The 22,089-nt window shown below is 46.2% G+C and overlaps 1 protein-coding gene across 17 annotated transcripts in view, besides 3 other annotated features; it reads left to right on the top strand.

Annotated features, from left to right (window-relative positions):
• TPM3 (tropomyosin 3) overlaps positions 1 to 22,089 on the top strand; it is a 36,793-nt gene that overhangs the window by 1,179 nt on the left and 13,525 nt on the right. For 2 of the 17 annotated variants that reach the window (NM_001278189.2, NM_001364683.1), the window contains exons 1-8: positions 7,704 to 7,934; positions 14,674 to 14,807; positions 17,721 to 17,838; positions 17,944 to 18,014; positions 18,818 to 18,893; positions 20,211 to 20,273; positions 20,453 to 20,522; positions 21,539 to 21,617. In NM_001278189.2, coding sequence (NP_001265118.1) covers positions 7,803 to 7,934; positions 14,674 to 14,807; positions 17,721 to 17,838; positions 17,944 to 18,014; positions 18,818 to 18,893; positions 20,211 to 20,273; positions 20,453 to 20,522; positions 21,539 to 21,617 — 743 coding nt within the window. In that variant the 5' untranslated portion in view covers positions 7,704 to 7,802. Of the gene's footprint in view, positions 1 to 3,479; positions 3,665 to 7,703; positions 7,935 to 12,717; positions 12,809 to 14,673; positions 14,808 to 17,720; positions 17,839 to 17,943; positions 18,015 to 18,817; positions 18,894 to 19,433; positions 19,510 to 20,210; positions 20,274 to 20,452; positions 20,523 to 21,538; positions 21,618 to 22,089 lie in introns of those variants that run through there. The other 15 variants (NM_001043351.2, NM_001043353.2, NM_153649.4 and 12 more) reach the window with 12 other exon arrangements.
• Positions 7,799 to 8,018: an enhancer, noted in NCBI's record as "active region_1773". NCBI's record gives its function as "activates an Ori minimal core promoter by ATAC-STARR-seq in GM12878 lymphoblastoid cells {active_cell/tissue: GM12878}" and the evidence as "EXISTENCE:reporter gene assay evidence [ECO:0000049][PMID:35858748]".
• Positions 8,133 to 8,759: an enhancer, noted in NCBI's record as "H3K27ac hESC enhancer chr1:154154639-154155265 (GRCh37/hg19 assembly coordinates)". NCBI's record gives its function as "activates a minimal SCP1, AML or CMV promoter by ChIP-STARR-seq in naive H9 embryonic stem cells {active_cell/tissue: H9 hESC(naive)}" and the evidence as "EXISTENCE:reporter gene assay evidence [ECO:0000049][PMID:30033119]".
• Positions 9,733 to 10,729: an enhancer, noted in NCBI's record as "H3K27ac-H3K4me1 hESC enhancer chr1:154152669-154153665 (GRCh37/hg19 assembly coordinates)". NCBI's record gives its function as "activates a minimal SCP1, AML or CMV promoter by ChIP-STARR-seq in primed H9 embryonic stem cells {active_cell/tissue: H9 hESC(primed)}" and the evidence as "EXISTENCE:reporter gene assay evidence [ECO:0000049][PMID:30033119]".

Raw genomic sequence — 22,089 nt, 5'->3', positions numbered from 1 at the left:
TATCTTTCCCAGGACCTGGACAAAGAGAGGGGACTCTAAGTTCAGAATGCTGTCACTTATCCTACCTCCTCCCCCATGCCACATTCTTAGCTTTTATGTCCAAGTCTTGGCATGTGGATATGTGTATTAATAGGGAACCTCTCATCTCTCAACTGTCCAACAAAACCAGCTCGGATTTCACAATGGGAAATGGAGGTCACACTGACCCTGGCCATATATGGGTTTATTTATCTTGGCCAATGCAGGCATTTGCCTTTATGCCATGGAGATGCCATATGAAGCATTGCTCCTAGGGCAGCAGAGAGATCCCTACAGTGACAGAGTATAATAGAAACTAAGAAAGAATCTTAGGGGGTAAAGGTATCACCACCAGACTTCACTCTATGACCGTGAGTAATTACTCAGCTTGTCTAGGGCTGAATTTTCCCATTCTCAAATAAAATAAATTCTCTTTTCCATCTCATATTATCCCATCATCATCACCTACTTTCCTTCATCTTTAACCTTGAAGTTTGCTGCAAAGATAAATGAGAGAGTAGATTGAAAAGTTTTTTAGAAGAAAAGTACCATAGGAATCTTACCAACAACAACAGAAATGTCCCAGTATTGGTGGAAACAAGTTTCTCAGTGAACTGAGTTAATAGGAAAAAAGGAGCATGTAATATTTAAAATCATATTTGGGCTGGGTGCGGTGGCTCACGCCTGTAATCCCAGCACTTTGGAAGGCCGAGGCGGGTGGATCACCTGAGGTCAAGAGTTTGAGACCAGCCTGGCCAACATGGTGAAACCCTGTCTCTAGTAAAAATACAAAAATTAGCCAGGTGTGGTGGCGGGTGCCTGTAATCCCAGCTACTCAGGAGGCTGAGGCAGGAGAATCGCTTGAACCCAGGAGGCGGAGGCTGCATGGAGCCGAGATCGTACCACTGCACTCTAGCCTGGGCAACAGAGAGAGACTCTGTCTCAAAAAATAAGTCAATAAAATAAAATCACATTTGGTTTTGGAAAATAGCTAGAAGGACAGACAGAGTGAACCATTCATAAATGCTTTCGGATCCTCATATTTGGTCTCTCTGCCATCCGGTTTCTTTCCTTTTCTTTTCCTTTTTTTTTTTTTTTTTTTTTTGAGACAGGGTTTCACTCTTGTTGCCCAGGCTGTAATAAAATGGTACTATCTCGGCTCACTGCCATCTCCACCTCCCAGGTTGAAGCGATTCTCCTATCTCAGCCTCCTGAGTAACTGGGATTACAGGCACGTGCCACCATGCCTGGCTGGCTAATTTTCATATTTTTACTAGAGACGGGGTTTCATCATATTGGTCAGGCTTGTCTTGAACTCCTGACCTCAGGTGATCCGCCTGCCTCGGCCTCCCAAAGTGCTGGGATTACAGGCGTGAGCCACCCCGCCCAGCCAGGTTTCTTTTTATTGTTGTTGTTGAGATGGAGTCTCGCTCTGTTGCCCAGGCTGGAGTGCAGTGGCACAATCTAGGCTCACTGCAAGCTGTGCCTCCTGGATTCAAGCCATTCTCCTGCCTCAGCCTTCCGAGTAGCTGGGATTGCAGGTGTGTGCCACCATACCCAACTAATTTTTGTATTTTTTTTTTAGTAAAGATGGGGTTTCGCCATGTTGGCCATGCTGGTCTCGAACTCCTAACCTCAAGTGATCCGCCTGCCTCAGTGTCCCAAAGTACTGGGATTACAGGCGTGAGCCACTGCGCCCAGCCTAAGCCACTGCGCCTGGGCTTTTTTTTTTTTTTTTTTTTTTTTTTTTTTTTTTTTTTTTTTTTTTTTTTGAGACAGAGTCTTGTTCTATCACCAAGGCTGGAATGCAGTGGCAAGATCTCGACTCACTGCAACCTCCACCTCCCGGGTTCAAGTGATTCTCCTGCCTCAGTCTCCTGAGTAGCTGGGATTACAGGCAGCTGCCACCATGCCCGGGTAATTTTTTATATTTTTAGTAGAGACAGTGTTTCACCATGTTGGCCAGGCTGGTCTCCAACTCCTGACCTCAAGTGATCCACCCACCTTGGCCTCTCAAAATGCTGGGATTACAGATGTGAGCCACCATGCCTGGCCTCTGCCATTAGGTTTCTGATCTGTTTTGTTTTCCACCACTTTCAGTGGCCAAGGAAAGTGGTAAGAATTGAATATATTATGCCAGAGGTTAGAAACACAAACTAAATATACATCATTTAAACTCATTCTTCCAAAAGTTAAGGCCAGCACAGGCTTTTTTTTTTTTTTTTTTTTGAGACGGAGTCTTGCTGTGTCACCCAGGCTGGAGTGCAGTGGTACGATCTTGGCTCACTGCAAGCTCCGCCTCTTGGGTTCACGCCATTCTCCTGCCTCAGCCTCCTGAGTAGCTGGGACTACAGGTGCCCGCCACCGCGCCCGGCTAATTTTTTGTATTTTTAGTAGAGATGGGGTTTCACCGTGTTAGCCAGGATGGTCTCGATCTCCTCACCTTGTGATCCGCCCGCCACGGCCTCCCAAAGTGCTGGGATTACAGGTGTGAGCCACCGCGCCCGGCCAGGCCGCCACAAACTATTAATTCTCCCTTCTTGTGCCCAGTGTGGTGGCTCAGACCTGTAATTCCAGCACTTTGCTTTGAGAGGCCAGGGCAGGAGAATCGCCTGAGGCCAGGAGTTCAAGACCAGCCTGGGGAACATAGTGAGGCCCTATCTTTACAAAAAATTTAAAAATTAGCCAGGTGTGGTGGCATGTGCCGGTAGTCCCGCGTACTCCAGAGGCTGAGATGGGAGGATCGCTTGAAGCCAGGAGTTCATGCTTGCAGTGAGGTATGATAATGCTACTGCACTCCAGCCTAGGTGACAGAGCAAGACCCTGTCTCTATTTAAAATGATAAAAATTCTCCCTTCTCAGAAAACTCAAAAAAACAAAACAAAACAAACAAACAAACAACCCTACCAAATCTACAGGTTACCCCTGGGCTTTGGGCAAGTGGATGGCTGGCTGGAGTTGTATAGCCTAGGTTCCTGGTATATTTGGATGGATCTCTCTGTTTCTAACATATGGGCATGAAGATAGAAGTTTTCACAAACTAGCACAATGTCAGGTTAATAACAGTTTTGTGAGAAATTGGGTAACATCAATCTGGGTCTGCTCTTAGGCTGAAACGGCTAGTATGTGGGCTTGAGGAGGTGTTTCCAGGAGCAAGAAAAAGAACAAGTCTAACCTGAGATCATGAGAAGGAGAATAACATAGAGGCTGTACGCAATACATCAAAATCATTAGGAATATAAAAGGATTTCCTGGGGATGAATTCTGTCTATCTTAATCTGTTTTACACATGTACAGACATACACATACACACACATAGCACCCCTCACCTAGATGTGGTCTACTCAGTATATTCATTTGAAAGAAGTTTCTTCATATTTACATAGGAATCCACCAAAACCCATTTAAATATGTAAAGTGAGGGTTAAAAATACTCATTCAACCCCTCTCCCCTTTGTTAGCTTTCCCAAGTCAGAAAGTACCCTCAGAGATATGCATAAGAACAAGAAACAGGAGAGGGAAGGTTGTGGCCAGGAGCAAGCAAGAAGAAAGGTTTCTTTCCTCAAAGCTAGAGTCAGCAAACTACCACCTGTGGGTTAAATCTTGCAACAGCCTGGTTTTGTAAATAAAGTTTTATCGGAACACAGTCATGCTCATTCTTGTACATACTGTCTACTGGCTTTCTTATCTCTCTGGCCACAAGACCCTAAAAGTTGGATGACCCCTGCCTCAAAGGGTCAAAGAAGGACAGTGTTTATAGGAATTGGGAGAGGTGCTGAATAAGGACCAACAAGGTTAAAAGCAGAAAGCAAAGGTAAGAGTCATCAGCAGCATAATATATGCATCTTTGGAGGGAGTATACTCTGTCCAATACAAAGGAAGTTAACAGCTCAGCTTCTGTCCTTGAGGTTAATAAATAAGTAAACAGAGCATATTATCTTGAAGTAGATATAAGCAGTAGAGAAGGAGGAGGGAGTCAATAACTACGTGTTTACACAAGCAGTTCTGGTTATCTGAGAAGCCTTTCTGAAAAGTGCAGGATTTACTAGGACTGCTTGAATAAAGAAAGGGCAAGGGTATGGCAAGGCGAGTCCAAACTTTTTTTTCCTCCCTAAATTTGTCTAACTTTGTTTTCTAAGTTGTGGTAAAATACGCATACATAAAACTTACCATTTTAACCATTTTTAAATGTCTAATTCAGTAGTAGCATATTTACATTGTTGTGCAACCACATCTAAGATCATTTTAATCCAAGATGAAATCAGATGCTGTTTAGGGAGAAACAAAGGGAAAGAGGAGTGCATTGTTAGGACATAGAGTCATAACACCATTTTTTAGGGACAGGTGGCAGGAAGGATGGGGAGAGAAGGGACAACGATGGACATATACACCTGTTGATATATTGTATTGCTGGTTACTAGGAACACAATAGCACTGGGCCCCTTGCTGTCTATCCATTGTGCTTCTAAAGGCTATCATGAGTCAGTCCATCTGTTTGACTGCATTAAGAGGAGATTATCTGCTCAAATCTACCAGTCTCAGAAATGCAGTGGTGCTCTCAATACCCTCTTGGTTTGGCTAGGATGAGGTCTTCTGCTGCTTTACCAGGGCACAGGGAGGTACAATAGTGCCCCCTGCTGAGCAGCACCCAGATGACAAAGTGTCACTTCTGCCACATCTTGATCAGACTTCTACAAAGCAAGTTAGAAAAATTCTTAGGCCATCAGGGTAGAGTCTATTAAGAGTCAGAACCCTGATCTTCCTTCCTAATTTCTGGGGGAAAAATCAGTGTGCAGGTTACTCTATTGAGAAAATTATTATCTATCCAAGTTGTTTCTTCTGAATAGTCTCATTGCTCGGTATTTCCAAAAGGTGATAGGAAAACAGAGGCTCTGCAGGGAGCATTCTTAGAACTAGACATTGAGGGCAGCAACTGTCTTGCCTACTATTCCTTTCAGGGATTAGGACTCTTCATTGTAAGTCCTGTTCCACATCCTAATTTTCTAGGAGAAAAGAGAGCTGTCCCAGAAGAAAAATTTATCACGATTACCTACTGGGAAGGTGGGAGGAATACAAAGAAATAAGAGGGAAGATAACGTTCTCAAGTCTCTTTACTATTGTGCTTCCAGAAATCCTGCATGGCAGTGCCTGTAGGGAAAGTTTCTTTTTTTGTTGTTTTTCTTTTTTTTTTTTTCAGACTGTGTCTCACTCTGTCACCCAGGCTGGAGTGCAGTGGCGCGATCTCGGCTCACTGCAACTTCTGCCTTCTGGGTTCAAGCAATTCTCCTGCCTCAGCCTCCCGAGTGGCTGGGATTACAGGCGCCTGCTACTGCACCTGGCTAGTTTTTTGTTTGTTTGTTTGTTTGCTTGTTTTTGTGGTTTTTAGTAGAGACAGGGTTTCACCATCTTGGCCAGGCTGGTCTTGAACTCCTGACCTCGTGATCCACCTGCCTCAGCCTCCCAAAGTGCTGGGATTACAGGTGTGAGCCACTGCGCCTGGTCTGTTTTGCCATTTTTTTTTTTTTTTTTTTGATACAGAGTCTCACTCTGTCACCCGGGCTGGAGTAGAGTGGCACCATCTCAGCTCACTGCAACCTCTGCCTCCTGGATTTAAGCAATTCTCTTGCCTCAGCCTCCCTGAATAGCTGGAACTACAGGTGTGCACCACCACACCCGGCTAATTTTTGCATTTTTAGTAGAGACGGGGTTTTGCCATGTTGGCCAGGCTGGTCTCAAACTCCTGACCTCAGGTGATCTGCCCGCCGTGGCCTCCCAAAGTGCTGGGATTACAGGCATGAGCCACCACATCTGGCCAAAGGGAAGTTTCTAACTCATAAACAGTTCCTTGGGGGTACTTGGAAGTACAGTGGCATTGAAATTGGTAAAAGTTGTAACAGAATGGAGGCTCAATTCTATAGTACAGTTTACAGGCACTCATGTCTGGCTGTTGCATGAAGGATCTAGTAACAGTCGTCTGTTTTTTATTTTTTTGAGACAGGCTCTCAATCTGTCACCCAGACTGGAGGCAGTGATACAATCTTGGCTCACTGCAACCTCTGCCTTCCCGGCTCAAGAAATCTTCCCACCTCAGCCTCCCAAGTAGCTGGGACTACAGACGTGCTGCCACCAAGCCTGGCTAATTTTTTAATTGTTTGTAGAGACGAGGTCTCACTATACTGCCCAGGCTGGTCTCAAACTCTGGGCTGAAGTGATCTTCTCGCGTTGGCCTCCCAAATGTTGGGATCACAGGCATGAGTCACCCCGCCCGGCTGACAGTGGTCTGTAATAGAGGATTTCTTCCTGATAAAATGGGGGCATATCTTTCTTACCTACAAAAGGAATTGTAAGTGATTATTAAATTATTTATTTATTTTTAGAGATGAGGTCTTGCTATATTGCCCAGGCTGGTTTTGAACTCCTGGGCTCAAGCCATCCTCCCACCTCAGCCTCCCAAAATCCTAGACTTACAGACATGAGCTACCACGCCCAGCTGATGATTAAATTGCCAAGTCCTGAATCATTCCAAGGTTTGGAGGGGCTGGAAGGTTGGTTAATTTGGTGCATGATGACTCTCAAAAGTAACAGGGACCTGTAATCCCAGCACTTTGGGAGGCCGAGGCCGGCAGATCACGAGGTCAGGAGATCGAGACCATCCTGGCTAACACGGTGAAACCCCGTCTCTACTAAAACTACAAAAAAAAAATTAGCCGGGCGTGGTGGAGGGCGCTACTCGGGAGGCTGAGGCAGGAGAATCGCTTGAACCCGGGAGGCGGAGCTTACAGTGAGCCGAGTTCGCACCACTGCACTCCAACCTGGGCGACAGAGGAGACTCCGTCCCAAAAAATAAAAAACAAAACAAAAATAAATAAAATAACAGGGAGCCTGACGGGGTGGCGTGCACCTGTAGTCCCAGCTACACCGGAGGCTGAGGTAGGAGGCTCGCTTGAGCCCAGGAGTTCGAAGCTGTAGTGAGTTGTGATCTCGCCACTGCCGCACTCCAGCAACAGAGCGAGATCTTGTCTCTTAAAAAAAAAAAAAAAAAAAAAAAAAAGGAGAAAAGTCTGTTCTAAATAGAACACTTAAGTTCATACCATGCCAAATAGAATGAGAATTTGTGCCATCTTGCCCATCCCTTCCACTCCGACAGTTCCATTCATTGACTTCCAGGAGACGGGAGAGAGAACCTACCTACCTGAGCCGACTTTGAAAGGAGACTGAGTGGGGCTCTTTTGAACCTGAGGCCCAGAAAGTCTTTTAGACTTTTCTTATAACTTGGTTTTGGAGTTTGTCGTGGGGTGAGTGGAAGCAGAGACTTGTAGGATGTTTATATTGTGGAGCAAATACAGTGAGGGGTGACGGGTATCGGCATTGCGGGAGTGAGGGGTCAATTGCGGGAGTGTAAGGTCAGCCGACTACCTGCAAAGGGGCCAACCATTGTGGGCAGCCAGCCTGGCGGGAGAGGCTAGGGCACGAAGCGCCGCCCAGTTACCATGGTAACACTCCCTCGTCCCAACCCCGTCCCAGTTTACTGGCCCAAGGTAAGGCCGGGAGCCGTACTCCAGGGCGACTGGGAGGATCCACTCCCTGCCGCGGCTCTCCCTCCAGTGGACTGCCTTCCCGCCTGCCTGGCGGTGGGAGGGCGCGGCAGAGGGACGTCACATCCGGGCGGGTTGGTGAGTTCCGGTATTTCAGGGCGTAGCAGGCGGAAGTAAGGGTGAGAGGAGGCTGCAACGCCGAGCGGAGGAGGCAGGAACCGGAGCGCGAGCAGTAGCTGGGTGGGCACCATGGCTGGGATCACCACCATCGAGGCGGTGAAGCGCAAGATCCAGGTTCTGCAGCAGCAGGCAGATGATGCAGAGGAGCGAGCTGAGCGCCTCCAGCGAGAAGTTGAGGGAGAAAGGCGGGCCCGGGAACAGGTACGGAGATGGTGAGGCTCATGAGGGAGGGGCAGGCGCTGGAGTATCCGGCAAGCGGAATAAGGTCCCTTTTGCCGTGGAGCACGGTCCTCTGAAGGCCGGCGGGCTCGGAGATGAAGTTGGGATCTCGGAGGATGGGTGGGGCTCAGCACCAGTAGGACACCAAGCGGACGAGGGGGAAACAGTGCTCGGGCGAGCAGGCTTGACCTTTGAAGAAATTGAGCCTTACGGGGTTTGGGGTGTGGCTTTCCTCCTCTTTTTTTCTCCACCTCATTCATTCAGTGCCTCCGATCCGGGCGCGGCCGTGGGAGGGGCTCAGCGGCTTCTCCCTCCCCCACTTCCCCATGGAGGGTGGGAGAACTTTGCTCTGGCTTGAGGTTTCCTGCCCAAGGGGTAAGAGTGGGTGGGTGCTTCTCTGTTCGGGGAGGGGCAGTACTGAACCTTCTGTGAAATGGTGAGGGTTTTGGGGTGGGAACCGTCGGAAAGACCCCGGCCTGCCTGCTGGCAGCTTTTCCGCTCCCTCCTCCTGCTCAGGAAATGAGGCAGCAGTTGGCTGAGAGGAAGCGCGGTGCCCTCCCTCCCTGGAGGAGCTCGAGGCCACAGGACCGCCTCTCATCCTCTGGCCAGGGGCCCTTTCCTCTTACGGGGTGCTCTTGCAGCTGCTACACCCACTCTCTGAATCTACGTGAAACGGCAGGGGAGGGGATAGTACTTCTCTCAACGTTAGTGCAAATGTAGGAGCCAACCAAACTTGCCTGGCCCTACCCACAATGACCTGGAAGGCAGGAACTTCTGTCAGATTCAGGCCTTTATTGCTGAAGTGTGATCAGTGCAAGCCGAACTGGTTAAGAACATTTCTTCCGAGCAGAGCTGATAAGCGAGTGTATGGCAGAGAATCAGATGGTGTGCCAGTCTCAAGGTTTCTGATTGACTTGGGCAATTTGGTGGAGACAATAATGAATTCCAGGTGACTCTAGTGGAATATTTGTTCAACTGAAAGTGGAAACATAAAATGTTGGTGGAGTGAACAGTGATTCTAGTGATTTCTTTCTTCCTTTCTTTTTTTTGAGACAGAGTCTCACTCTGTCGCTCAGGCTGGAGTGCAATGGCATGATCTCGGCTCATTGCAACCTCCGCCTCCCGGGTTCAAGTGATTCTCCTGCCTCAGCCTCCTGAGTAGCTGGGATTACAGGTGCCCGCCACCAAGTCTGGCTAATTTTTTGTATTTTTGGTAGAGACGGGGTTTCGCCATGTTGGCCAGGCTGGTCTCGAACTCCTGACCTCAGGTGATCCACCCACCTCTGCCTCCCAAAGTGCTGGGATTACAGGTGTGATCCACCGTGCCCAGCCTATTCTAGTGATTTCTTTAAACGTCTTTCTGTTTAAAAGTGGCTGATTAGTTTTAGTGTAAGCCATAAGATTTTCCAAGGTCTAGGGTGCAGTCTAATAGATGGAGCTGATACGAGTTGAGGCTTTGTTTTGGAGGATCTTGAGAGAGTAAAGTAACTGTTGCTAAAATTCAAGATCCAGTGAAAGTACTCATGTGGTTTATTCTTTGTTCTTTGTTCTTTCCCTTGGTAAGTTTTTGTTTTTGTTTTTCTTTTTGGCTGCTCCTCTGGGAAATAACTGAGAATGTTTTTGGGAGGGGGAGGGGTGGATTTCAGAAAAGGATGGTAATTGGGGGACAGCTGCCCTCCAGTTTAAATACTTAAAGATTGTTGGAATACTCACTTATTTTTATAAGTGGTCATGGAGATGCTGGGATGGGAGCTTGTTGTCTTCCTCAGACACCTTTTTCTAGGTAGATTTTTTTCCTCTGTTCAGTTTGCCAACAACTTCTTATTATCTGTGCAAGTGAGATGGACTGGCTGGGTGACTCTTTATGGCCAGTGGCACTTTCTCATCTCCTTTGTTCTGGAGACCAGATAGCTTTAAAGGGGAAGACAGAGGAACTGGCCATGTGTTGAGCTGCAGAATCTTAGGCTCAGTATTTAAATATGGACATTCTAGGAGTAGTTCTAAGGTGGGTGATTCCTGCCTCCCATCCCCCCTCTTTTTTTTTTTAGATGGAGACTTGCTCTGTAGCCCAGCCTGGAATGCAGTTGCACGATCTCTGCTCACTGCAACCTCCACCTCCCAGGCTCAAGTGATTCTCCTGCCTTAGCCTCCTGAGTGGCTGGGATTACAGGCATCCACCACCACACTCGGCGATTTTTTTTTATTATTTTATTTTTTTATTTTTAGTAGAGATGGGGTTTCACCATGTTGGCCAGGCTGGTTTCAAACTCCTGACCTCAAGTGATCTGCCTGCCTCAGCCTCCCAAAGTGCTGAGATTACAGGCATGAGCCACTGCGCCTGTCCTGGGGTGATGTTTCTTAAGCTACTTTCACTCAGAGCCTGCCAAATTTGCTTATTGAGCTGAGGTCTAGTGAGGAAGTCCTCAGAATGGGGAAGTAGAGTTATAGTTAAATATTGATGAAATCATTTCTTCTACTCCCCAGCCTGAAGAAGCTTAATCTTTTGACTTTCTGCTGCTCTGCTGAACTTTGAACCCCTACTGAGGAGGAGACACCTGTGGGAAGGGAGGGGGGTTGCTTGGGCTACCTGTTATCCTCTTAAGGCATTCTGGAATGTGGGTTTTGCAGACTCCTCCCTCCTCTGGAGCGGGAAACTGCACTCTCTGATGGTATCTCATGCTGTTAGTGGGATTGTCACTTAATTATTTTCCTGGTTACTTTGTGTGAACATCCAAGCCACCCTTGTTGGGAAGCTAGATGAGTCTAAAACTGAGACACTGGTGTTCTAGGATCCATCTTTCTTTTCTGCTCTCGGCCTGGAAATTGGTCTTTTATAATGTAGCACCTTGTCAAATTTACTTTCAGTTCTGTATTTCCTTTTTACTTCTGTCTAAATGGAAACAGATGGCAACATAATGTTTAAATGCAGTCTTTTTCCTTATCTCTTTTTTTTTGTGGTAGTGGTGATAAAAATACATGTAAAATTTACCATTTTAACCATTTATAAATGTACAGTTCACCTTATCTGTTTTTAATAACTCTCTCCTAATTGTCCCTGATATTTTTCTCTTTTTAATTTTTTTCTAGTCTAAAAAACTTAAGAGGCTGGGTGCGGTGGCTCACACCTGTAATCCCAGCCCTTTGGGAGGCCTAGGCGGGTGGATCTGAGGTCCACCTGTGGATCTGATGAAACCCCATCTCTACTAAAAATACAAAAAATTAGCTGGGCATGGTGGCGCATGCCTGTAATCCCAGCTACTTGGGAGGCTGAGGCACAAGAATTGCTTCAACCCTGGAGGCGGAGGTGGCAGTGAACCAGGATTGGATCATGCCACTGTACTCCAGCCTGGGCGAGTATCGGCACTGGGGGAGTGAGGGGTCAACTGCGGGAGTGTAAGGTCAGCACACTACCTCTGCCTCAAAAAGAAAAAAAAAAGTAATAACAAAAACCTTAAGAGTACTACCGAGGGAGTGGGCTTTGATTCTGGCCTTAATCCTAAATTCCTAGTCTCTGGAGAGGTTAGAATGCTTGACTGTTGTGTGGTTCTCTTCTATTCGTGGGCCTGGTGGACTAAGCAACCTTTCTTTGGTTGCTTTGCTTTCCTTTCTCTTTCCCCAGTACTAGAACACACACTCACAGGGGAGAGGCAGATAGCCCTTTACCCCTGCTTAGGCTCCGCCTTTGTTTACTGTGGGGCAGATAGCTCTACTCCCTTCCAACTTGCCTCCCCTTTGGTGAAGTTTAAATTCCCCAAGGACACGGTATCTCCCTGGGTAATGCATTTGTGAGCACAGTGAACTCAAATAGTCCTTTACTCACAGGGCTCAAGCCTAACTTTCTGATACTCTTTCATTTGAATTTTATCTGTGGCTTTTATCTAATAAGAGAAACCCCAGTGTGGCAGAAAGCCAGATTTAGGCTAATCCCCTTCTGTCCTTGGCCCTGTTCTGCCTGAGAGTACCATCACACTGTCAGTTTCTTGCCTGGAGGGGTTGACATATTTGGGAAATCTCTTTGGAGTGGAGGATAGCCGAAGGTGTTGTCAGCCATCTGGTAATGTGACTGAGTTGCTGGGGCATTCTACTCTTTCCCCAATCCCTCACCCAGGATCTTTGCTTCCTGGGCAGTGGAGAATCCTATTATTACTTGAAGGGAAGAACCACAGAGTACTGTATATCCTCCACACTGGGCAGAGATAGGTCAGCTGAAACACCAAAACCGCATCTGGATGGGCATGCTAAAACCTAAGATGATTAGGAAAGTGCAGAGCTTAACGTTTCCCAGGGCCACAGGTAGCCTGGTCTGCAAAAAGTAGGCCTGTTCAATCTCTTGGTACCCATTGGTATTATTTGACCTGAAAGGGACAGGCACTGTGCATAGACTCATGAGGGAAAAGTCAGCTTGTCTTCCTTGTTCCTTTAAACAAAGTATCAGATCTTGATTCTGCAGGCTTTTGTTTCATTGTAAAGAGAACTGATCCTCTGTGCTAGGAGAAAAGAGAAAGGCAAGGTCCCATTCCCTACCACTCCACCCTGGAGGGGGTCTCTGAAGCTTTTTCTAGGACTCCCATCTCAGGTTCTGCTTTTGATACAGGCTTGTTCATGTGTGCATGCTCTTAGGAGGGCACCAAGATGTGTTTTCCCCCTCTCCCTTTTCAGCCTTGCTAAGAATTCTATTGTAAATGCTGATTTGTGGGAGAAACTGCCTGAGCCAGCTTGCTGTCATGGCAACTGTACACCCCCGCCCCATAGCCTGTTATCTTCTACTCCAGTTTGGGTAACTACTGGTGAGCTGCATGATGTCTTACATTTCATGAGCTTCCTCTAAATCTAGTTGTATTTTTCGTCTGAGGGGGGTAAGTCATTTTACTAGCAGTGTCTCCTAGGTCTTGCCTGATAGCCTGACTTGCTCTTGATCCATGGCCTTGTTGGGTTTGTGAGGAGAAATGTGTGTTGTTACAGAGAACATCTATTTTTCTGGAAGAGGCAGAAGCAGAGAATACTTGTCTTTGTGGTGTTTTGAGTAGTGTAGTTAGAGGCACAAATGGTTTCTTAATGATTTCAGCTTATGTTGACTTCTCGATTTTCTTTGCCTGGTGGCTAGATTGTAGCCCCAGCCCTCTGCTTCCCTTCCTAGTCTCTTCAGCTTCTCATGTTTGTATGTGGAAGTTTTTGTGCCAGTCCTGATGGTTAAAAAGGAGTCTTTTGGTCTATATTCTTCCTCATCGGAGCTAGTGGCCCAGGCTGTTTCTATAGCTGCACCAACTCCTGCCTGCCAGGAAGAAATCAGGGTAATAGAATTCAGGCACAATCTGGGCTATAGAAGAGAGATCGTGTTTACCAGGCACTTGGATAAGCATCTGAACTGGGTGGTGTGCGGGGCATATTAAATTCTTGTATACTGTTGCAGTCAGGGTACCTCCCACCAGTAAAGGTAGCGGGGAGGCAGTCATGGAAAGAGGTTTTCCTACCATTAGAATTTATCCATCCACCTGCAGGCTGCCTCCTTCTTTCCTTGTTTCTTAGAGAAAACCCATCCAGGATGGGTTTACTTGGACTCTAACCTATATACTTCATTGTGAGATGGAGGCCAGGGGGAAGATTGTCGCTGTATTAGAGGGTGAAGCTAAGGGGATGGCTGGAGGAATAGAAAGGAGAAAATTCAGAAATTTGGAGGAATGGTAGTGGGTGTGGTGGAAATGTTCTTTCTTTTTTGTAAAGCTATCAAAGCAGATAATTTTAGCCAGAAGCAGCTCCTTGTAGCCAACTTAAAAAAGGAGTACGGGGGCACAAGTTGAAGGGCTGGTGAGTAGGCATCCCAACAATATTCCATTCTTTTGCTTTCCAGTCTGGAAGGCTATTCTGGAAGACATTCCCTTGGCTAGTTATTCTTCTGATGTGTTAGGGTAAAGTGATCATAGGAATAACGGTTTGAGTTAAGCAGCAATTAATAGGTAATCCAGGATTCCCTCTTTTTTTTTTTTTTTTTTTGAAATGGAGTTTCACCGTGTTGCCCAGGCTGGAGTGTAGTGGCGCAATCTCAGCTCAGTACAACCTCTGCCTCCCGGGTTCAAGGGATTCTTCTGCCTCAGCCTCCCGAGTAGCTGGGACTAGAGGTACGCGCCACCACACCTGGCTAATTTTTGTATTTTTTATTAGAGTCAGGGTTTCACCATATTGGCCAGGCTGGTCTCAAATTCCTGACCTCATGATCCACCCGCCCCAGCCTCCCAGAATACTGGGATTACAGGCATGAGCCACCACACCCAGTCAGGATACCCTCTTTAAGAAACCTTGCTTTTTTTTTTTTTTTTTTCCTGCTTTATGAGACACTTGAAAGGTTACTGAGGATGAGACATGCCTCCAAGCCAGAGCTCAGGCAGAAGGAACCCTTCATTGACTTTCTTTTCTGACTCCAGTGTGTTGAGGAATTTGAACTGAGTCCAGGAAGTGGGTGGTACTAACTCACTGGGCTGGGCAAGGAACTGAGTTTTAAAACACTCTTCCTGTGGAACATATGGGAGTTCGTTGATGGGAAAGGGAGGAAATATATATATATAAAGTTATGTCTGCTAGATCTTTTAACAGCTGAGCTAAGACAAGTTCTACCCTGCGAGACTCTGGCTTTTTCATGGTAGTCAACCCTGATCTTAATGTCATAGTTATTTCTTCTTTTCTCCATGCCTCTGCTTCCCTTGTCCATTCTTTCCTTCAAATGCAGGCTGAGGCTGAGGTGGCCTCCTTGAACCGTAGGATCCAGCTGGTTGAAGAAGAGCTGGACCGTGCTCAGGAGCGCCTGGCCACTGCCCTGCAAAAGCTGGAAGAAGCTGAAAAAGCTGCTGATGAGAGTGAGAGGTGTGTAGGGAAGCCTGATGGAGTGTGGATTTTAAAAGTTCATAATAGTTCTGATCAAGATTTCCTTATAGACCTGTTTTCTAAATAGCAATTCTGGCTGCGTGTGATGGCTCACGCCTGTAATCCCAGCACTTTGGGACGCTGAGGCAGGAGGGTGGCTCAAGCCCAGGAAGTTGGGGCTACAGTGAGCTCTGATTGCGCCACTGCACTCCTGGGTGACAGAGAAAGACCCTGTGTCAATCAGTCAATAAAAATAAAATACTAACTCCATCACACAGGATCTCCTTTCTATTCTGCATATTCTGTCCCCTTGAAGACAGTAAGGGTAACTTAGATGTTGTGACCCTTTTGTAATTGGTATTTCCTTACAAATTGGCCTAATGATCCTTAAAATGGGATCACCAGTATGACTTCTACTTTCTGGATCATAAGCTTCTATTTGTGAGATTAATTTCTCTAAAACAGAGGTTCTCTAAGTAAGGTCTCAGACCAGCAGCATCAGCAATACTTGGGAACTTGGTAAAAATTCACATTCTCAGCTCCTATGCTGATCTGCTGAATCAGAAACTTTGGATGTGGGGCCTGGCAATCTGTTTTTAGTAAGCCTTCTCAACGCTGGTTGCATTATTAGAATCATAGGTAGGGGTGAGGGGGGAAATCACTGGGGAATTTAAAACTGGATGCTTAGATCTCATCCCAGTTCCATTAGAATCAGTTGCAAGAGGGGTCTGGGCATTGATGTTTTTAAAGTTCTCCAGCTAATTTTTTTTTTTTTTTTTTTTTTGAGACAGAGTCTCGCTCTATAGCCCAGGCTGGAGTGCAGTGGCGCAATCTGGGCTCACTGCAAGCTCCGCCTCCCGGGTTCACGCCATTCTCCTGCCTCAGCCTCCCAAGTAGCTGGGACTACAGGTGTCCGCCACCACGCCCGGCTAATTTTTTGTATTTTTAGTAGAGACAGGGTTTCACCGTATTAGCCAGGATGGTCTTGATCTCCTGCCTTTGTGATCCTCCCGCCTCGGCCTCCCAGTGTGCTGGGATTACAGGCGTGAGCCACTGCGCCCGGCCTTCCCCAGCTAATTTTAATGTGTTCCTAGGGTTGAGAACCATGGCCCTTGAAACAAATTATAACTCATGTTTTTGAAAATAGCCAGTTGTCTCCTTGCCACATGTGAGTTAAACTAGAACAGAGGTGCTTGACAACTAAGGGTTTTCAGAATAAATAGTGCCTTTCTAAGGGTACGTTACTACTGTGCAGCTGTGAAAATGAAAGAGGCAGCTATGTGTATACTATTAGAGTAGCATGCAAATTATAGAAAGTGAGGGCCGGGCGCAGTGGCTCACACCTGTAATCCCAGCACTTTGGGAGCCTGAGGTGGACGATCACTTGAGGCCAGGAGTTCAAGACCACCCCAGCCAACACAGCAAAATCCAGTCTCTGGTAAAAGTACAAAAATTAGCCAGGCGTGGTGGGGCGCGCCTGTAATCCCAGCTACTCAGGAGGCTAAGGCACGAGAAGCACTGGAACCCAAGAGGCGGAGGTTGCAGTGAGCCTCCCTCTTTTTTTTGGTCTCAAAAAAAAAAAAAGAAAGAAAGTGAGGATAGCTGCATGCTGAATACCGGGGGGAAAAAAAAGAGTGTGGAAAACAAGTTGCAGAACCGTCTAGTATATTATTACTTTGGGGAAGCTGGGATGGGATTTTTGTGTGTATATATATATATATATATATATATATATATATATATATACACATATATTTAAATAATATTTATTTATTTTTTTGAGACAGAGTCTCACTCTATCCCCTAGGCTGGAGTGCAGTGGCACAATCTCGGCTCACTGCAACCTCCACCTCCCGGGTTCAAGCCATTCTCATGCTTCAGCTTCCCTCAAGTAGCTGGGATTACAGGCGCCTGCCACCACGCCTGACTAATTTTTGTATTTCTAGTACAGACAGGGTTTTGCCATGTTGACCAGGCTGGTCTCAAACTCCTGACCTCAGGTGATCTGCCGGCTTCGGCCTCCCAAAGTGCTGGGATTACAGGCGTGAGCCACCACGCCCAGCTGTATATATCCATATTTTTATTTAATATTTTAGTATTTAATTTCTTAATAAGTTTTTTTGGGGGTGGTGGAGGAGACGGTGTCTCACTCTGTCGCCCAGGCTGGAGTGCAGCAGTGCGATCTTGGCTTACTGCAACCTCTGCCTCCCGGGTTCAAGTGATTATCTTGCCTCAGTAGATGGGATTACAGGTGCTTGCCACCACACCTGGCTAATTTTTGTATTTTTAGTAGGGACAGGGTTTCACCATGTTTGCCAGCTGGTCTCGAACTCCTGACCTCAAGTGATCCACCTGACTTGACCTCTCAAAGTACTGGGATTACAGGCATGAGCCACTGCGCTTGGCCAGGATGTATTACCTTTATAACAAAAAGTTTTTTTTTTTTTTTTGAGACGGAGTTTCGCTCTTATTGCCCAGGCTGGAGTGCAATGGCTCGATCTCGGCTCACCGCAACCTCCACCTACTGAGTTCAAGTGATTCTCCTGCCTGAGCCTCCCAAGTAGCTGGAATTACAGGCATGTGCCACTACGCCCAGCTAATTTTGTATTTTTAGTAGAGACGGGGTTTCTCCATGTTGGTCAGGCTGGTCTTGAACTCCCGACCTCAGGTGATCTGCCCGCCTCAGCCTCCCAAAGTGCTGGGGTTATAGGCGTGAGCCACTGTGCCCAGCCATAACAAAAAATTTTAAATGAAATAATTAAACTAAGGTGTGGGAGTAGTAACATGGAATTTCCATTTGAGGGGCAGACAGAGAGGAGTGGGCTTTTAAAAGTACAGTTCTGAGACCCTTGGAGTGGAGCTGACGACACACTCCTCAGGGTGTCAGTATTGCTTTTGTCCTATTTCTGGCAGAGGTATGAAGGTTATTGAAAACCGGGCCTTAAAAGATGAAGAAAAGATGGAACTCCAGGAAATCCAACTCAAAGAAGCTAAGCACATTGCAGAAGAGGCAGATAGGAAGTATGAAGAGGTAAGTGACCTTCTGTTAGTCCCTCTCGTATCGGCCTTTTACAAAGCATAATGCGGTAAATGGCTCCTTTGCTTCACTAAGCTATACTGGGATCTTTTCCTGTAGGTGGCTCGTAAGTTGGTGATCATTGAAGGAGACTTGGAACGCACAGAGGAACGAGCTGAGCTGGCAGAGTCGTGAGTATCTAGCTCCCCAAATCTTGTCATTACCAATTTATCCCTTCCCCTTTGGCTTGGGCACTAATATGAATAAATTAGCATTCCTTCAACCTTGTTAAACAGGGCCTAGGGAATGGGAGTCATCTATAGTGCTTTTTTAGGCCCAAGAATGGTTTTAGGCTTCCTTATTCTCCTGACTAGTGACAAGTGACAAAAGAGGCTTTCTTATTTTTTGTTGGTAGGGTTTACAAATTGAGAGCAAATAAGGACTAATACATGGTGAACAGTTAATTGGAAGATCCTACTGGGTCCTTCCACCTGGGGTGGAAGACATCAAAGTGGCTATCCTGATTTAAGATCTAGTGTCTGGCTGGGTGTGGTGGCTCAAACCTGTAGTCCCAGCTACTTAGTATGCCAAGGCAGGAAGGTTGCTTGAACCCAGGAGTTGGAGGCCAGCCTGGGCGTCATAGGGAGACCCTGTCCCTAAAACAAATAAATTTAAAAAAAAAATCTGGTGTCTGTTTTGGCCACTTTGCCAATCTGCTAGGGAACCTTAGGGCAAGGGTAGATATTAACTGCTCTCCCGTCGGTACCTTCTGGGCCTTGATTAACAAAGTCAGTGCTGAATGCATATGTATTTGTGCTTCCCTCTTACATTCCCGTCTGCCAGACATAACATATCATGACCATGGTGGTGTTCTCTTCCCATTTTTTGAATTTTTTTTTTTCGTTTTGCTGCTTGTTTTCTTGCTGTGTTCCTTTTTGACCTTTCTCCCTCCCCACAACCTGGCTTGTGCCATCCCCGTGACTATCACTAACAGCCGTTGCCGAGAGATGGATGAGCAGATTAGACTGATGGACCAGAACCTGAAGTGTCTGAGTGCTGCTGAAGAAAAGGTACTAACCATTAAGCCCACAGCAAGGTTATATATGTGGTGTGGTTTTGTTTTGTTTTGTTTTTGTTTTGCAGCTGCCTCCCCTCCACTTGATTTTGTTGAGTGCTGTCTCATCTCTTCATGGAATGCTCCATTCTTTTCCACTTACTTGGCATCTTTCATCTCTTCTTTCCTAGTTGCTTCACTGCCTCTCCACAGGGTCTCCTTCCTTTGGGTGATTTGGGGGACTGTTTGGGTTGGGCATTTGTTCCCACCTCCACCCCAGGTAGCAGTTATGACTTGTTCCTGGTAGTGGATTTCTCTCAAGTGCTTTATTAGTATTCAAACATTTTTGAGCCCAGGAAGGTCTAGCTCCTGACACGTTCTATGGTAGAGGGAGGAGGGTTGATGCTTGCTCAGGTTACTTGGGAACATCTCTTCCCCAGTATGCCTTCCAACTCTCTCTACATATAGGTTCAATTCACGTCTATGTGTCTCTCTCCCTTTTTTTATTCTCTTCCTTTTCCCTTTTCCTCTCCTGTGGTATTTAAAATATTCACAGTAAGTGTTCTGAGCTGGAGGAGGAGCTGAAGAATGTCACCAACAACCTCAAGTCTCTTGAGGCTCAGGCGGAGAAGGTAGGGGCTGGTTTGTGAAAGTGACAGGCTTTGGGGCCTGGGCCCAGCCCTGCCCTTGATGAAAGACTGGAGACACGCATTCCATATATAATCCAGTGAGGCGTGTCCTCTTCCTACCTCCTTACCATGTATTCAGGTTCTGGGTTTAATGCTATTTTCTGTGCACTTTGATTGCTTTAATTAAAATAACTTCTTGGTCTCAGGTTACTGGAGTCATGTGCTCCTTAGGCTGATACTGCTGTGCTGAAAAGCAATAATCAAGGGCCCTAACAGGCTTTCTAGCAGACAGATGGGGGCAACAGACAGAATCAGCTCTGAGACCTAATGAGCAATCAAGACAGATGACTTCACTTTGCCATCATGTGGGTGTGTTTCAGTCATGTGACCTTGGGGTGCTACTACTCTTGCTCATCAAGCAGGGGAAAGGAAAAACACCTCCTTGGGTTGATCTGAATAATATCAAAGCTTAGATCCATCTTAAAAAGTCATGGAGAATTTTAACCTGAGGATCTCATGGCTCTAAAGACATAGATTTCTGAATTTCAAGGACCTATTGTCCAGAGCCAGGCCTTGCTCTTACTCTTGGACCATTCAGCACATTTAGTGCAAGAGGATATTCAATGTAAGTTAAATGTAGGGAGGGGGGTATTGCCTGTGTGACTAATTTCTACTCTGAAATTTTTAATCTACTTATCTTACAGTACTCTCAAAAAGAAGATAAATATGAGGAAGAAATCAAGATTCTTACTGATAAACTCAAGGAGGTGAGCTGAGGGGATTTATAGGGCAGAACCCAAAACATTTAGAGGTATATAAGGCATTAATATGGATTTAAACTGGCTGGTTTGGGTTCTGAAAGGTCCAGAAGTAGAAGGTGGAAGAAATAGAGATTGTTCTTCTTTGTCTTCATCTCTGGTTCTGACTAATTTCATATTTCCCCCAGGCAGAGACCCGTGCTGAGTTTGCTGAGAGATCGGTAGCCAAGCTGGAAAAGACAATTGATGACCTGGAAGGTATGGAACCTGGAGTAGGGATTGAAATAGAGAAATATAGAGGAAGACTGCCCATTAACCATTAATCTCTTTTTCTGTACACCAAAGGAAGTTGGTAGTGACTTGGCATGTATTAATATCATGTGCACTGTCCTATGCCACAGCTAGGCAAAGTGGGTCAAACTCTAGAATTGGTTTTTTAAATTTAATCTTTTCCTTTAAGAAGACTTTACCAAATAGTCTGCAATTTGTACCCTTCCCTTTTGAGGAGAATGATAATGGCTGCATTTACCTCCAATTTATTAGTCTTAAACCTTTAGTCTGTGGGTTTAAATGGAAGCCATGATTTCAGAAGGGCAAGATGTATGTCATTTCATGGCTACTTTCCACAGTTCTTTTTGCCACTCAAGTTGTCGGGTATTTATCCAATAAATGAAGTTGTGGAATAACCATATCTGAACATTGACCAATGTCAGGAGCTTTCTAAATACTTTCTGTCCCTGCAAGTTGGTAACTGCCATCCACCCTGACAAGGGAACGTACTCTTTGCTTTGAGAACTCTGATGTATGCTCCTTTGGTACACTCTCTTGGCAGAGTTGCAGGGGCAGCCTGTGGAGCAGAGGGGCCACTAATAGGTTCACATTTTGTAGGCAGAGAAGTGTCTGAATATGGATATATACTCTCTCCCTTTGCTATTTTTGTTCAATTAAGTGTTATCACTGCTAGGAATTGGGTACCTGGATGGGAGTGGTATCCTCTTGAGTGCTTTTGGTAATAGGAATTTCTAGTTATGACTGTGCCCAGGTTCTCAGCCCTTGCTGCAGTCGATTTGGAGTATCAAGAAAGGAAGTTGGTCATAGGAGAGAGTAGATCTGAAAATGTCCAGTCATGGTTGCCAGAGTAGATATTTTCCTAACTGTGGTATTAGACCCACAGTCACACTTTCCTAATTTCTAATGATTCCCTCTCTTCATCTGCTTCTGAAACTCTTCACTCTGTCCCCTCATTCCTCCCTGTGGTTCCTGTGCCTGTCCAGATGAGCTCTATGCCCAGAAACTGAAGTACAAGGCCATTAGCGAGGAGCTGGACCACGCCCTCAATGACATGACCTCTATGTAACTATCTGACAGTAGAGTGGGGCTGGGATCTTGGCTTGTGGGTGGATGGGGGTACAAGCTATGCATAGTGGTGTGCTTTGGTTTTATCCTTTGGAAACTAGAATCTCCACCCTTATCTTTGAAACATTGGTGCTGGTTATTTGTTTGGCAAAAGCTTTGGAGGCATGGCCGGGCGCGGTGGCTCACGCCTGTAATCCCAGCACTTTGGGAGGCCGAGGCAGGTGGATCACGTGAGGTCAGGAGTTGGAGACCAGCCTGGCCAACATGGTGAAACCCCGTCTCTACTAAAAATACAAAAAGTAGCCAGGCATGGTGGCAGTGCACCTGTAATCCTAGCTACTCAGGAGGCTGAGCCAGGAGAATCGCTTGAATCTGGGAGGCAGAGGTTACAGTGAGCCAAGATGTGCCACTGCATTTCAGCCTGGGCAACAGAGTGAGACCCCATCTCAAAAAAAAAAAAAAAGAAAAA

Source organism: Homo sapiens, chromosome 1, assembly GCF_000001405.40.
Source record: "Homo sapiens chromosome 1, GRCh38.p14 Primary Assembly".
Classification (NCBI taxonomy): Eukaryota; Metazoa; Chordata; class Mammalia; order Primates; family Hominidae; genus Homo; species Homo sapiens.
Note: the sequence above shows the minus strand (reverse complement) of the source record. Positions and strands in the feature narration are given on the sequence as shown.